Source organism: Homo sapiens, chromosome 19, assembly GCF_000001405.40.
Source record: "Homo sapiens chromosome 19, GRCh38.p14 Primary Assembly".
In the NCBI taxonomy this organism is placed as follows: Eukaryota; Metazoa; Chordata; class Mammalia; order Primates; family Hominidae; genus Homo; species Homo sapiens.
Genome location: NC_000019.10, coordinates 2,695,452 through 2,711,502, shown reverse-complemented (window position 1 = coordinate 2,711,502; position 16,051 = coordinate 2,695,452). Strand labels below are relative to the sequence as shown.

General features: G+C 50.8%; 1 protein-coding gene across 2 annotated transcripts in view, besides 3 other annotated features; it reads left to right on the top strand.

Moving 5' to 3' along the window:
• Positions 933-1,012: an enhancer, noted in NCBI's record as "active region_13714". NCBI's record gives its function as "activates an Ori minimal core promoter by ATAC-STARR-seq in GM12878 lymphoblastoid cells {active_cell/tissue: GM12878}" and the evidence as "EXISTENCE:reporter gene assay evidence [ECO:0000049][PMID:35858748]".
• Positions 8,524-8,913: a silencer, noted in NCBI's record as "silent region_9804". NCBI's record gives its function as "represses an Ori minimal core promoter by ATAC-STARR-seq in GM12878 lymphoblastoid cells {active_cell/tissue: GM12878}" and the evidence as "EXISTENCE:reporter gene assay evidence [ECO:0000049][PMID:35858748]".
• GNG7 (G protein subunit gamma 7) overlaps positions 8,809-16,051 on the top strand; it is a 191,476-nt gene continuing 184,233 nt past the window's right edge. For both annotated transcript variants that reach the window (NM_052847.3, XM_047438629.1), the window contains exon 1: positions 8,809-8,857. The gene's annotated coding sequence lies outside the window, so the exon portion shown is untranslated. The remainder of the gene's footprint in view (positions 8,858-16,051) is intronic.
• Positions 12,821-12,940: an enhancer, noted in NCBI's record as "active region_13713". NCBI's record gives its function as "activates an Ori minimal core promoter by ATAC-STARR-seq in GM12878 lymphoblastoid cells {active_cell/tissue: GM12878}" and the evidence as "EXISTENCE:reporter gene assay evidence [ECO:0000049][PMID:35858748]".

The window sequence follows — 16,051 nt, the reverse complement described above, 5'->3', positions numbered from 1 at the left end:
CAGGGGTCAAACAGTGCCTGGTGGGCTGTGGGAAGAGTTTGGACTTTCACGAGAAGGATGCCAGGGGGTTACGGGAACATTTCAGCATTTCCCTCAAGAGACCTCGAGGGCCCCGCTGTACCGTGTACTTACCGCAGCTGGCTGAGGAGGTCGGACAGGCACTAAGAGCCCTATTTTACAAAGGCAGGAACCCACAGGACCTCAGCTTCCCTATCTGTGTAATGTGAATGTATGGTTGGAGTCTGGCTTGCCAGGATCCCAGGAGGCGGGAGAGGGCCGTGGTTAGTGATATGTCCTCCAGGTCAGATGTGAAGATGGTGGGATCCCAGCTGCAGCTGCAGGGAGCATAGCACCTGCCTGGGACCCCCTCCTCTATTTCTCCAAGTGACCATGGGTTTTGAGACACCCTCTTTTAAAAATTATTTTTTTTTTGAGACGGAGTCTTGCTCTGTCGCCCAGGCTGGAGTGCAGTGGTGTGATCTCGGCTTCAAACAATTCTCCTGCCCCAGCCTCCCGAGTAGCTGGGATTACAGACGCCCACAACCATGCCCGGCTAATTTTTGTGGTTTTAATAGAGATGGGGTTTCACCATGTTGGCCAGGCTGGTCTCAAACTTCTGACCTCAGGTGATCCACCTGCCTTGGCCTCCCAAAGCGCTGGGATTACAGGCATGAGACACCGTGCCTGGCCTTCATTGCAATTTTTAAAACGTTTTATTTATTAATAATTATTGATTCACGGGAAGGTACAAGGAGGTCTGATGCACCCTGCACCCAGCCCCCCAGCTATGTTTACATCTTGCATAACTGCAGTATAACCTCAAAACCAGCACAGTGGAAGGATGCAAGCTTCACTGGATTTGCATGCACTCATCTGAGTGTGTGAGTGTGTGTGTGGTTTATGCAGTTTTATCACACGCATAACTTCCTCTAAACACCGTCACGAGATACTTTTTTTTTTTTTTTTTGGTCAGGGTCTTGCTCCGTCGCCCAGGCTGGAATGGTGCAGTGGTGTGAACACAGCTCACTGCAGCCTCAATCTCTTGGGCTCAAGTGATCCTCCCACCTCAGCGCCCCCCGAGTAACTGAGTAGCTGGGACTACAGACACATGCACGTCACCACATGTGGCTAATTTTCTTTCTTTCTTTTTTTTTTGAGACGGGGTCTGGCTCTGTCGCCCAGGCTGGAGTGCAGTGGTGCGATCTCGGCTCACTGCAAGCTCCGCCTCCCAAGTTCACGCCATTCTCCTGCCTCAGCCTCCCGAGTAGCTGGGACTACAGGCGCCCGCCACCACGCCCGGCTAATTTTTTGTATTTTTAGTAGAGACGGGTTTCACCGTGTTAGCCAGGATGGTCTCAATCTCCTGACCTCGTGATCCGCCCACCTCGGCCTCCCAAAGTGCTGGGATTGCAGGAGTGAGCCAGCACGCCCGGCTAATTTTCTTATATATATATTTGTAGATATGGTGGGGGGGTCTTGCCATGTTGCCCAGAATGGTCTCGAACTCCTGGGCTCAACGGATCTTCCTGCTTCGGCCTCCCAAAGTGCTGGGATGACAGGTGTAAGCCACTGCACAAACAAGACACTTAAGCGACACCAAAGACTCCCTCGTGATATCCCTCCTAGCCACGCTAGCCACCCTCACTAATGCAATATGTATGTATTTGAGAGTCTTGCTCTGTTGCCCAAGCTGGAGTGCAGTGGCATGATCTCTGCTCACTGCAACCTCTACCTGCCAGGTTCAAGCAATTCTCCTGCCTCAGCCTCCCGAGTAGCCGGGATTATAGGCATGCACCACCACGGCCCAGCTAATTTTTATTTTTTGTATTATTAGTAGAGATGGGGGTCTCACTATGTTGGCCAGTCTGGTCTTGAACTCCTAGCCTCAAGCAATCCTCCCATCTTGGCCTTTCAAAGTGCTAGGATTACAGGCATGAGCCACTGCACCTGGTCCTAATGCAATATTTTTTTAAAAATTGACATGAGTACAAAAAATCTGCATTGAACAAAATTTTAAAGTCCCAAATAAAGACAGCATCCAACCTTCCCCTGAGAGCCTCAGGCAAAAGGAAAAATGTGTGCATGTGTACATATACCAAATATTTAAGCATCTTTACATATCTTTCTATTTTTTTGAGACTGTCTCAATTTGTTGTCCAGGCTGGAGTGCAGTGGTGCAGTCTCGGCTCACTGCAACCTCCTCCTTTCCAGTTCAAGCGATTCTCCTGCCTCATCCTCCAGAGTAGCTGGGACTACAGGTGTGTGCCACTGTGCCCATCTAATTTTCTTTTTTCTTTTCTTTTCTTTTTGTTTTTTTTGAGATGGAGTCTTGCTGTGTTGCCAGGCTGGAGTGCAGTGGCACGTCTCGGCTCACTGCAACCTCCGCCTCCCGGGTTCAAGCGATTCTCCTGCCTCAGCCTCCTGAGTAGCTGGGACTACAGGTGCGTGCCACCACACCCAGCTAATTTTTGTATTTTTAGTAGAGATGGGGTTTCACCATGTTGGCAAGGCTGGTCTCGATCTCTTGATCTCGTGATCCACCTGCCTTGGCCTCCCAAAGTGCTGGGATTACCGGCGTGAGCCACCGCGCCCGGCCCAGCACCTTTATATATCTGTATGCATTTTTAGTGGTTGATTTTTTCCAGAAGTAGATTTTGAAAATATGACTGATGATTTAGTAGGATTTGCTTCTACTAAAACTAGGACAGTAAAATTATAATAAAGTCTATTTGGACATAAAGAAACTTAATAATAACATTGTAAAAAGACACATGACATTGTGAGTTTGAATACAACATCTTTTCAATCCTTGAATACTTTCAACTGCTTTAGTGTTCTGGAAAAAAAGTAACCATTAAAAAATACAGGCTCATGCCTGTAATCCCAGCACTTTGGGAGGCTAAGGCAGGAGGATCACTTGAGCCCAGGAGTTCAAAACCAGCCTGGGCAAACTGGTAAGACCCTATCTCAAAAGAAAACATTAAAAAATATATAACTCTCTGGAAGAATATTTGGCAGTTTCTTCAAGAACAAATCATGCAGCTACCATATGACATAGCGATTGTGGTCCTGGTCATTTATCTCAGAGAAATGATTTATGTTCATACACAAACCCTTACAGGAATGTTAACGGCAGCTTTATTAGTAAGAGCCAAACACTGGTTTTCAGTGGGTGGATGGTTGAACAAATTGTGCCCCATCCTCATTGTGGAATATTACTTAGCAGTCAAAAGGAACAAAATACTAAGACAAGCCACCACCTAGATGAATCAGATAATTATAAAAAGTGAAAAAAGTTGGCCAGGTAAGGTGGCTCACGCCTGTCATCCCAGCACTTTGGGAGGCCAAGGCCGGCAAATCAGTTGAGGTCAGGAGTTCGAGACCAGCCTGGCCAACATGGCGAAACCTTGCCTCTATTACAAATACAAAAATTAGTCAGGCATGGTGGCAGGCGCCTATAATCCCAGCTACTTGGGAGGCTGAGGCAGGAAAATCGCTGGAACCCGTGAGGCGCTGCAGTGAGCCGAGATCACGCCACTGTACTCCAGCCTGGGCAACAGAGTGAGACTCTGTCTCAAACAAATCAAATCAAAACAAAACAACATAGATGATGGGTAGATAGGTGCAGCAAACCACCATGGCACACATTTACCTATGTAACAAACCTGCACAGCCTGCACATGTATCCCAGAACTTAAAATAAAATAAAAATACAAAATAACTAGCCAGACATGGTGGTGCACACTTATAGTCCCAGCTACTTGGGAGGCTGAGGCAGGAGGATCACTTGAGCCCAGGAGTTTGAGGCTGCAAGTAAGCTGTGAATGTGCCACTGCACTCCAGCCTGGGAGACAGAGCAAGACCTTGTCTCAAAAAAAAAAAAAAAGGGGCCTAGCACGGTGGCTCACTCCTGTAATCCCAGCACTTTGGGAGGCTGAGGCGGGTGGAGCACTTGAGGTCAGGAGTTTGAGACCAGGCTGGCCAACATGATGAAACTCCATCTCTATTAACAATACAAAAATTAGCCAGGTGGTGGGCGCCTGTAATCCCAGCTACTCAGGAGGCTGAGGCTGGAGAATAGCTTGAACCTGGGAGGCGGAGGTTGCAGTGAGCCTAGATCACGCCATTGCACTTCAGCCTGGGCGATAGGGTGAGACTCCGTCTCAGAAAAAAAAAAAAGATAAAAATAAGTGAAATGGTGAAGAGATTGGTGATGGTCAGAGGTTAGGGATGGGGTTTGGGGATGGGAGGAAGGTGGGTGTGGCTCTTAGAAGGCACCAGGAGGGATCCTCGCAGGGATGGAAACATCCTCTGCCTTTTTTTGTTTGTTTGTTTCTTTCTTTCTTTTGAGAAGGAGTTTTGCTCTTGTTGCCTAGGCTGCAGTACAATGATGCGATCTCGGCTCACTGCAATCTCCACCTCCCAGGTTTAGGTGATTCTCCTGCCTCAGCCTCCTGAGTAGCTGGGATTACAGGCATGCGCCACCACGCCTGGCTAATTTTGTATTTTTAGTAGAGACGGGGTTTCTCCATGTTGGTCAGGCTGGTCTCGATCTCCTGACCTTGTGATCCGCCCGCCTCGGCCTCCCAAAGTGCTGGGATTACAGGCGTGAGCCACCGCGCCTGGCCAACATCCTCTATCTTAAGCTTAACAATGTTAATATCCCGTTCATGACATTTCACTGCAGTTTTGCAAGAGTTTGCCATTGGGCGAAGCTGGGCAGAGGGTACTGGCCCTCCTTCTATGCTATGTCTTACAACTGCGTATGAATCCACAGTGATCTCAATATTTACAATTTTAATTTAATTTTTAATGTTTCTTTTTTTGACCAGGGATACTGCTAAATTTGAAAAAGGGGAATTGGGCCAGGTGAGGTGGCTTCAAGCCTGTAATCCCAATGGGTGCCTGCAGTCCCAGCTACTCAGGAGGCCGAGACAGGAGGATCGCTGGAGCCCAGGAGTTGGAGGCTGCAGTGAGCAATGATCGAGCCACTGCCCTCAACCCTGGATGAGAGAGTGAGACCCTGTCTCAGATAAAAGGAAAGAAAGAAAGAAAGAAAATAAACAAGGCAGAGGCGGGAGGATCACTTGAGCCCAGGAGTTCGAGACCAGCCTGGGCAACATAGCAAGATCCCATCTCTAAAAAAAAAAAATGTAAAAATTAGCTAGGCATGGTGGCATGCATCTGTGGTCCCAGCTTCTCAGGAGGCTGAGGTGGGAGGATTACTTGAGCCTGGGAGATCAAGGCTGCAGTGAGCTGTGATAGAATCACTGCACTCCAGCCCGGGCGACAGAGCAAGACCCTGTGTCCAAACAACATCATCATCAACAACAACAAAAACCCAAAAAACAAAAGAAAGGGGCCGGGCGCAATGGCTCATGCCTGTAATCCCAGCACTTTGGGAGGCCGAGGTTGGTGGATCACCTGAGGTCAGTAGTTTGAGACCAGGCTGGCCAACATGGTGAAACTCCGTCTCTATTAAAAATACAAAAGTTAGCTGGACATGATGGTGGGCGCCTGTAAGCCCAGCTACTCGGGAGGCTAAGGCAGGAGAATAGCTTGAACCTGGGAGATGGAGTTTACAGTGAGCCGAGATCACATCACTGTACTTTAGCCTTGACGACAAGAGTGAGACTCCATCTCAAAACAAACAAACAAAAAACAAATAAACAACAAACAAACAAAAAACCAAAGGGAAGTTGATGGGAAAATATATGTGAAAATATGTCTATTGGGACATGCCACCTTTTCCATTTGTCTTAGGCTCCAACATGGTTTCACATGACACTTTTTCAAAATTGTTACAAATACTTGTATCTATGTATGGGGTACATGTGGTATTTGTTATATGCATAAAATATATAATGATCATGTTTGGGTATTTGGGGTGTTCATAACTTAGACTATTTCTCATTTCTATATGTTGGGAACAATTCAAGGACTCTCTTCTAGCTTTTTTTTTTTTTTGAGACAGAACTTCGCTCTTGTTGCCCAGGCTGGAGTGCAATGGCACGACCTCGGCTCACCACAACCTCTGCCTCCTGGGTTCAAGCCATTCTCCTGCCTCAGCCTCCCGAGTAGCTGGGATTACAGGCATGTGCCACCACACCCGGCTAATTTTGTATTTTCAGTAGAGACGGGGTTTCTCCATGTTGGTCAGGCTGGTCTCAAACTCCTGACCTCAGGTGATCCACCCGCCTTGGCCTCCCAAAGTGCTGGGATTACAGGCGTGAGCCACTGTGTCCGGGTGGGCGCCTGTAATCCCAGCACTTTGGGAGGCCGAGATGGGCAGATCACGAGGTCCGGAGATCGAGCCCATTCTGGCTAACACGGTGAAACCCCGTCTGTACTAAAAAATAAGCTTGGCGTGGTGGGACGTTCCTGTAGTCCCAGCTACTCAGGAGGCTGAGGCAGGAGAATCGCTTGAACCCGGGAGGCGGAGGTTGTGGTGAGCTGACGTCACGTCATTGCATGCCAGCCTGGGCAACAAGAGCGAAATTCCATCTCACACACACAAAAAAGAAAATAATAATAATAATAATAATTAAATAGAGATGAAGCCTCGCTATGTTGCCCAAGCTGGTCTCGAACTCCTGCCCTCAAGGGATTCTCCTACCTTGGCTTCCCAAAGTGTTTGGATTAGAGGCGTAAGCCACCATTATTCTAACTATTTTGAAATGTACAATACATTGTTGCTAACTACAGTCACCCTATTCTGCTATCAAACATTAGAATTTATTCTAATACTATATTTGATAGCAGAATACATCCTATTCTGCTATCAAACATTAGAATGTATTCCTTCTGTCTAACTGAATGTTTGTACTCATAACTCACCTCTTTTCATTTCCCCCCCACTCAACCTACACAACTTTCCAGCCTCTGGTATTGATCATTCTACTCTCTACCTCCATGAGATCAACTCTCTGGTTCCCACGTATCAGTGACAACATGCCCTATTTGTCTTCCTGTGTCTGGCTTATTTCACTTTTTCACTTAATATAATGACCTCCAGTCCCATCCATTTTGCTGCAAATGACAGGGTTTTATTCTTTGTTATGGCCGAATCATATTGCATTGTGTATTTAACACTTTTTTTTTTTTTTTTTGAGACAGAGTCTCACTCTATCGCCCAGGCTGGAGTGCAGTGGTGTGATCAAAGCTCACTGCAGCCTCAACCTCCTAAGCTCAAGCGATCCTCCTGCTTTCGCCTCCGAAGTAGCTGGGACTACTGGTGTGCGCCGCCAGGCCTGGCTAATATTTTAATTTTTTTGTAGAGTTGCGGTCTCAGTATGTTGCCAGGCTGGTCTTGAACTCCTGGGCTCAAGCGATCCTCCCGCTTCAGCCTCCCAAAGTGCTGGGAATACAGTCGTGAGCCACCGTGCCCTTCCCAAGCTCTATCTAGACAGTCATTCCTCTTGGGGGATGCCAGCTGGGGAGAGCCTGGAGGAGGGCAAGCAGGGAGATGGAGGTTTCTCTGTGCCCTGCAGGGCAGGCCACTGGAGTCCAGAGGATGAGCAGGGAGGTTCTTGCAGGGATGACAGGAACCCTGGGGAAGTTTATCTTGGATTTTGGCCAGCAGCTCCAATCCCAGGGCTCAGGTGGGGCGGCAAGGACACACAGTGTCAGCGCCTGATGAAATCCCTGAGGTCACAGAATATGGTGGCTCCATCTTCCTTCCAGGGCTGTGTACTGCTTTTGGAGACATACAAAGTGTTTTCCAATATTCCCAAGGGAGCTTGTGGAAAATGAAGATTCCAGGCCTGTAATCCAAGCATTTTGGGAGGCAGAGGCAGGAGAATCACTTGAGCCCAGGAGTTCAAGACCAGTTTGGGCAACATAGCAAGACCCCATCTCTAACAAAAAAAAATTAGCCAGGGCCAGGCACGGTGGCTCACGCCTGTAATCCCAGCACTATGGGAGGCCAAGAAAGGTGGATCACCTGAGGTCAGGAGTTGGAGACCAGCCTGGCCAAAACGGTGAAACCCTGTCTCTACTAATAATACAAAAATTAGCTGGATGTGGTGGTGCGTGCCTGTGGCCCCAGCTACCCGGAAGGCTGAGGTGGAAGGACTGCTTGAGCCTGGGACTTCAAAGCTGCAGTGAGCTATGACTGCACCACTGCAGTCCAGCCACGGCAATTGAGTGATACCCTGTCTCAAAAACAAAACGAAAACTAAACAAAACACAGATTTCAGGGTCCAGTTCCCTATAGGATTCTGGTTCATTCCATCTGTGTTGGGGCTCAGGAATTTGTGGATCCAGGGCCATGAGTTAGGAAACTGAGAAATCTTGGAAATGATGAGACAGGCTTGGGCAAATGACCTTAGGTTTCACCTTTCTGAGACCCAGTTTCCACCTCTGTAAAATGTGGATAGTAATCTCGCCTTCTGGCCTTATGCGGAGGGTCCCACGAGAGGGAGCCTATAAAGTCTTCAAGAAAGCGGTGCAGCAGTTATGATCACTGACATTCTTCCCCAGCAAATGAGCCCCCGGAGCTGGCATGCAGGATTCGAACCAGCTCACCTAGCGCGGGATTCGAACTCGCGAAACTACTCGCGCCTTCCTGACGTCACGAAGTCACCCTGGAAAGCCGCTCTTCGCCCCGCCCCCGGCCCCGCCCGCGCCCGGAGCCCCGCCCCACTCTCCTGGGCGCAGCCTACCCCGCTGCCTGCCCCGCGCCCCGCCCCCGCTCCGGCCTCCCGCAGCCGGGGCTCGCGATTGGCCTTGCCGGGACGCCAGGGCCCGCCCCCCGAGTGTCGGCCCCGCCCCCGCAGAGGGGAGCGAGCGCTCGCGGGCCGGGGCGGAGGGTTCGGCTGCGCGGCGGGGCTGAGGCGGCCGCGGGGCCCGAGCGCAGGTAAGGGCGCCCGCGAACCGGGCCAGGGGAAGTGAGGGCGCGGCCGGCGTCCCGGAGAGGGGACTGGGACAGCTCGGATTCGGCTGCGGACCGAGTTGGGGGTCGGAGTCGGCTGAGGAGGGGGGCTGGGTCTGGGGACCCGGGCTGCAACTGGAGGCTGGGGTTGGAATTGGGGACGGGGCTGCGCTTAGGGGGTCGAAGTTAGCTGGGGAGGGGCTGGGGTTGGGGATTGGGACTGCACTTGGGGCTCAGGGCTAGCTGGGGAGGGGGCGGGAGTTGCAGGTCGAGGTTAGCTGGGGACGGGGCAGGGGGTGCAGATCGAGGTTAGCTGGGGAAGGATTGGGTCTGGGCATTGGGACTCCACTTAGAAATCAGGGCCAGCTGGGGAGGAGGCTGGAGTTGCAGGTCCAGGTTAGCTGGGGAGGGGGCTGGAGGTGGGATTGGAGGTCTGAGTTAGCTGAGGAGGGGGCTGGGGGTGAGACTGGAGGTCTGAGTTATCTGGGGAGGGGACTGGAGTTGCAGGTCGAGGTTAGCTGGGGAGGGAGCTTGGAGCGGGATTGGAGGTCTGAGTTGGCTGGGGAGGGGTCTGGAATTGCAGGTCCAGGTTAGCTAGGAAGGGGCTGGTGGTGGAATTGGAGGTCTTGAGTTTGCTGGGGAGGGGGCTAGAGTCGCAGGTCGAGGTTAGCTGCCGAGGGGGCTTGGAGTGGGATTGGAGGTCCAAGCTAGCTGGGGAGGGGGCTGGAATTGTAGGTCGAGGTTAGCTGGGGAGGGGGCTGGAAGTGGAATTGGAAATCTGAGTTAGCTGGGGAGGACGCTGGGGATGGTGTTGGGGGTTGAGGTTAATTGGAGCGGGGAACAGGGGTTGAGTCAAGGGTGCAGCTTCTTTGAAGAGGGAGCTGGGAGTGGGGTTGAGGTTTGCAGGGAGCTGGAGAGGGGGCTGGGGATGGAGTTTGAAGTGGGGTTCATTGGAGAGGGGGCTGCAGAGGGAATTAGATGTTGAGGTTGTCTGGGGAGAGGACTGAGGAATGGGGTTGGTGAAGATGGGGGGGTGTGATTGACGGCCCAGGGGTTAGGGTTAGCTGAAAAGGGGCAGAAGGACAAAGCTGGGGTGAGCCAGGGAGTGGCTGGAGCATACAGGTGGGGGTCAGGCTTGTTCCAGAAAGGGTCTGGGGGCTATCAGGGGAAATGGGGAGCTTGTGAGTGTGTGGGGTGGAAGGGGGTTCAGGGAGAAGGAAGTTGGGGTGAGTTAGTGAGAAGGGAGGTGGGGGTAAGGTCCCAGGCTGGAGACACCTGGGGGCAGGTGTTTTGCTAGACATTGACTAATCAGGAGGAAAACGGGGTGTGGGGAGGTGTCTCAGGTAGGATCCAGTTAAAAGGAATTTGGAGAGGACTCACCCCTCTACTTTTGGGGGAGATGTTAATTGTTTGCTCTAGAACTGGGCACGGGGCAGAACCCCCTGGGGAACAGTGAGTTGAAGGAGACGGGAGTTCGGAATACTTTTTGAGGTTTATTTCTAGGATATAGGGTGCCAAGGAGAACGCTTCAGGAAGGAGAAAGGCTCCTGTCGGTGACTGAATTTTTCAGGAACTAAAGTGGGAGTTTTTGGGACGGTGCTATTGAGCGACGTGGGTGGCACTTTATTTTTCCTGGGGAGCGGGGGTTGCTAGGGGTTGGGAGGTGGGCGGTGGAAGACAGGCTTGATGAACAGAGGCAGCGGATCCCCAGCTAAGCGTCTTCACACGGTTGCTAGGTGTCAGCGAGGCAAATGCCAAGTTCACAAACTTGTTCCCGTCGTGGGATGCTGCGATCTTGCCTTGATGGAGTGTCGGGGGCCTCTGGGAGGTGCGCCTGTGTGTGTTCCGACCCAGCCTCTCGCTGCGGATTTGGCTGTATCATCTTTTGGAGGTGTTGTTTACTCCCCTGCAAAGCGGGAATAATAAAAACAGTAGCATGTGCCTCTCAGGGTCGAATTACGGGATGTATGCATGGACTATTTCCTAGCATATAGTGAGGGTACCTGAAGCATGGAGAATAATGGACTCAATCCAGTTTTTTTCTTTGGTGGGTTTGGAGATGGAGGAGTGGGATGACTGGGTTGTCACAGAGGAGAGGAAAGGAAGTGACTGGAACTTGACTCTAGTCCTGCAACCTTAGGAGCACACATCAGGGTCACCCCCAGAAGCTTTAAAAAATAACCTGCATGGCTGGTTGTGGTGGCTCATGCCTGTAATCCCCGCGCTTTGGGAGGCCGAGGCGGGTGGATCACCTGAGGTCAGGAGTTTGAGACCAGCCTGGCCAATATAGCGAAAACCTGTCTCTACTAAAAATATCAAAAATTAGCTGGGCATAGTGGCGTTTGCCTGTAATCCCAGCTACTTGGGAGGCTGAAGCAGGAGAATCGCTTGAACCCAGGAGGTGGAGGTTGCAGTGAGCCAAGATCACGCCATTGCACTCCAGCCTGGGCAACAGAGAGAGACTCTGCCTCAAAAAAATAAAGGAAAAAAAAAAAAAGGACTGCAACAACAACAAAAATATGTCTTATTATTATTGTTATTATTATTATTATGTTGAGACAGAGTCTCAAATATGGAGCCTGTTTCCATATTATTAAAAGTGAGTAAAAAACTGAAAAGAAAGAAGACTTTGCCCACACCTGGTGGCAGGAGAGTCTCAAAGCTCGTTAAGTAACAGATGCACCTGTTCAAGAGAAGGCTGCCTGGGTCATTCTGATTAGGGGCACCCCGTAAGGAACCACATCGAGCTGTGATTATACGCTTGAAATTTTGAGTTTACAACTTCAGTTCATGGGGTGCGTCTGGGTCTCTCTATCCCAGCGCTGCGGACATTTGGGATCTGATTGTCCTCTGGGGTGGGGCCTTCTGGGCACTGCAGGGTGCCGAGCAGCATCCCTGACCTCCACCCACTCCACACCAGGAGCTCCCCGCATTGTGACAACCACAGATGTCTCCGGATATCACCCAGCGTCCTGTAGGGACAGAGATACTCCAGTGTGGAACCCTTGTTATAGACAAAACTGATTTATTTTCTCCTTTAACGACCTCATCTCCCCTTTGATGTGCAGGAAGTGGGGTCATTCAGAATTGAGGATTGCTTTTAAGTCATTTAGTGCTGTCATTCGGAGAGGGGAGAAGTAAGGTCTCACTGCTTTTAGAAAACATTAGAAATGCCTACTTATGGCTGGGTGCGGTGGCTCACGCCTGTAATCTCAGCACTTTGGGAGGCCGAAGTGGGTGGATCACTTGAGGTCAGGAATTCAAGACCATCCTGGCCAACATGGTGAAACCCCATCTGTACTAAAAATACAAAAACTAACTGGGCGTGGTAGCACACGCCTGTAATCCCAGCTACTTGGGGGGCTGAGGCAGGAGAATCACCTGAACCCAGGAGGCAGAGGTTGCAGTGAGCTGAGATTGCACCACTGCACTCCAGCCTGGGCCACAGAGTGAGACTCTGTCTCAAAAAAAAAAAAAAAAAAAGGCTACTCCTTTCTAGGTGGGCCTTTTATGTGGCTTTTGAACACTTAGTACTGATTTAGAAGATGGCCTGAAGTTGTCAGTTGCAAGCATTGGAAGATGACAATGTTTGCAATGTGCTTTCTTGGTTTTAACCTGGAACGTGAAGCTTCCAACGAAGCTCAAATTCTGCAGGTGCGTCTCGATCTTACAGAGGAGCTTTATTTAGAAAACATCCTTTGACCGATACCGTTATTTTCTGTTCTTGTTTCATGCTTCGTAAACCCTGGGGCCCCACTGTTTGAAGGCAAAGAGAACTAAACACAAATTACCCTCACGTGTAGACAATTCAGCTTCGTGTTTACTGAATGGAGGCATTTTTCTTGTTCACCGATAGTAGTGGAAAACACTCCTTTCTTCATTCAAGGTGTTATTCGGATTTTTTCAGTTCCATCTGGAAGCAGCGATGGTCTTTAAAATCGTATCCAGAGTCATTTGTATTTTTGAAGATGCTTCATGGTTTCTTACAGGAAGGTCGTGCCTGGTCTCTATAGGCTTGGGAGCTGGTGCTTTCTTTTTTTCTTTTCTTTCTTTTTTTTTTCTTTTTTGAAACACAGTCTTTCTCTGTCACCAAGGCTGGAGTGCAATGGTGCAATCTTGGCTCACTGCAACCTCCGCCTCCAGGGCTCAAGCAATTCTTCTGCCTCATCCTCTCGAGTAGCTGGGATTATGGGCGTACACCACTGCACCCGGCTAATTTTTATATTTTTAGTAGAGACGGGGTTTCACCATATTGCCCAGGCTGGTCTCAAACTCCTGACCTCAGGTGATCCACCTACCTCGGCCTCCCAAAGTGTTGGGATTACAGGCGTGAGCCACCGCGCCCGGCCTGTCCTTTTTTTTTTGAGACATGGTCTCATTCCGTTGCCCGGGCTGGAGTACAGTGGTGCGATCTCGGCTCACTGCAACCTCTGCCTCCTGGGTTCAAGCCATTCTCCTGCCTCAGCCTCCCGAGTAGCTGGGACTACAGGCACCCACCACCACACCCAGCTAATTTTTGTATTTTTAGTAGAGACGGAGTTTCACCATGTTAGCCAGGCTGGTCTGGAACTCCTGACCTCTGGTGATCCACCTGCCTCGACCTCCCAAAGTGCTGGGATTATAAGCATGAGCCCCCGCACCCGGCCTGTCTTTTGTTTTTGAGATGTGGTCTCGTTCATTGCCCAGGCTGGAGTGCAGTGGCGCCATCTTGTCTCATTGCAACCTCCGCCTCCCGGGTTCAAGCGATTCTCCTGCCCCAGCCTCCCGAGTAGCTTCCATTACAGGCATGTGCCACCACGCCCGGCTAATTTTTGTATTTTTAGTAGAGACGGGCGGGGGGGGGGACGGGGCCCTCACCATGTTGGCCAGGCTGGCCTCGAACTCCTGACCTTAGGTCATCCACCCACCTCAGCCTCCCAAAGTGCTGGGGTGACAGGCGTGAGCCACCGCGCCCGGCCGCTGTGTCCTTTCACGGCTGATTTCTGCAATTCTGCGTCCTTGTTGATGTCGGGCGCCTCTCCCCGCTCGTTGACATTTCTTGACTTCACTTGTCACTGCTTTTTATACATGCACTCTTTGGCCTGGCCTCTGTCTCTTAAGGGTTAGAGAAAAGTGTTCATGGTTTACGTCACCCAGGAGACCCTACCGATGAGTGTGAGAGCTAAGGAGATGGGCTGACCCATCCTCAGTCACACAGCGGCCCCCGAGGGGTCACTCCTGTCCTCCTCCTCCCCCATCCTGCGGCGTGAGTGGGCCACGCTCTCTCTGTGTGGTTGCTCCCCCACATCGGCTCCTGACACGGATGGGCGGTGGGGTTCGTGGGCAGCTCCGAGACGCTTCCACGAACAGTTACTTGAACCTCGCAAAAGGAAAAGTCTTACTGCTTTTTATGACAAAAATTGAGGTATAATTTACACTTCATAACATTCAGACCTTTTAAGGATGCAATTCCATCTTTTAAATAAGTTTATCAGCTGTGCAAACATCCCTATAAGCCCCTTTCAGAACATTCCTGTGATCCCAGCATTTTGGGAGGCCGAAGCAGGTGGATCAGTTGAGGTCAGGAGTTCGAGACCAGTCTGGCCAACATGGCGAAACCCTGTCGCTAGTAAAAATACAAAAATTAGCCGGGCGCCTGTAATCCCAGCTACTCAGGAGGCTGAGGCAGGAGAATCGCTTGAACCTGGGAGGCGGAGGTTGCGGTGAGCACTGCACTCCAGCCTGGGCAACAGAGCGAGACTCTGTCTCAAAAAACAAACAAACAAAAAAACATTCCATCACCTAGTAAAATCTTTTGTCCCCATGAGGGGGACTCTCCACCCCCTCCCCCAGCCCTGGCACCCACGCCTCTCCCTCCTGTCTCTGGACTGGCCTGTCCTAGACATTTCAAAGAAATGGGTCACACACTGTGTGGCCTTTTGTGTCTGGTGTCTCTCACTGCGTGTGACATGCTCAAGGTGCATCCGTGCTGTGGCCTGCGTCAGAGCCTCGACCCTTTTCAGGGCTGAGTCGTGTTCCGGTGCGTGGACAGGCCGGGCTGTGCTCATCCATCCATTCAGCAACACACGCTCGGCCGCTTTTGCCTTTGGGCAATGGAGCACAGTGCTGGGATGTAAATGGCTTTTTCCTGGGCACAGGCAGTCCACTGCACTGAAGCTTGGGATGTTTGTTTAGTGGTTCTTTCTTTCTCTTTCTTTCTTTCTTTCCTTCCTTCCTTCCTTCTTCCTTCGTCTTTCCTTTCTTTCTTCCCTTCCTTTCCTTTCTTTCTTTCTTTTCTTTCTTTTCTTTCTTTCTTTCTTTCTTTCTTTCTTTCTTTCTTTCTTTCTTTCTTTCTTTCTCTCTCTCTCTTTTTCTTTCTCTCCTTCTCTTTCTTTCTTTTTTCTTTTTCTTTCTCTCTCTCCTCTCTCTCCTCTCTTCCCTCTCTCCCCTCTCTCCCCTCTCTCTCCTCTCTCTCTTTCTCTCTTTTCTTTTTTTTTGACGGAGTCTTGCTCTGTCTCCCGGGCTGGAGTGCAGTGGTGCAATCTCGGCTCACTGCAACCTCCACCTCCCAGGTTCCAGTGATTCTCCTGCCTCAGCCTCCCGAGTAGCTGGGATTACAGGCATGCACCACCACACCCAGATAATTTTTATGTTTAGTAGAAACAGGGTTTCACCATGTTGCCCAGGCTGGTCTCGAACTCCTGACCTCAGGTGATCTGCCCGCCTCGGCCTCCCAAAGTGCTGGGATTACAGGCGTGAGCCCCCATGCCCGGCCCCTTCTGTCTGCTTTCTTTCCCATCTCAGTGCTCCCTCTTGAGCCGAGAGCCTCATCATCCCTGGCGGGAGACTCCGAGGTGACGAATCAGCCTCTGGTTTCTCCAGCTCCAGCAGGACCTTCCTAGTAAGCTTCCTGGGCACTGATCAGACGGTCACTTCCCTGCCTCCTATCAAGTCAGCACCCACATGATGGCACCCCAGTTCCTCATGGGGTCTTCAGGGTCCTGCATGGCCTGGCCCTGCCCTCTGACCCTTCAAGTACCCCACCCCCACTTGGCTCCATCCACCTCCCCGGTGCCCCTGGGTTTCCTGGACGCTGCTGTTGCTGTCTCCTTTGTCTGAAACGCTCCTTCCTTCCTTCCTCTATCCGACAAAGGCCCGTTGTGTGCCTATTTTAAGCCTCAGAACTGGTGCCAGGCCCTG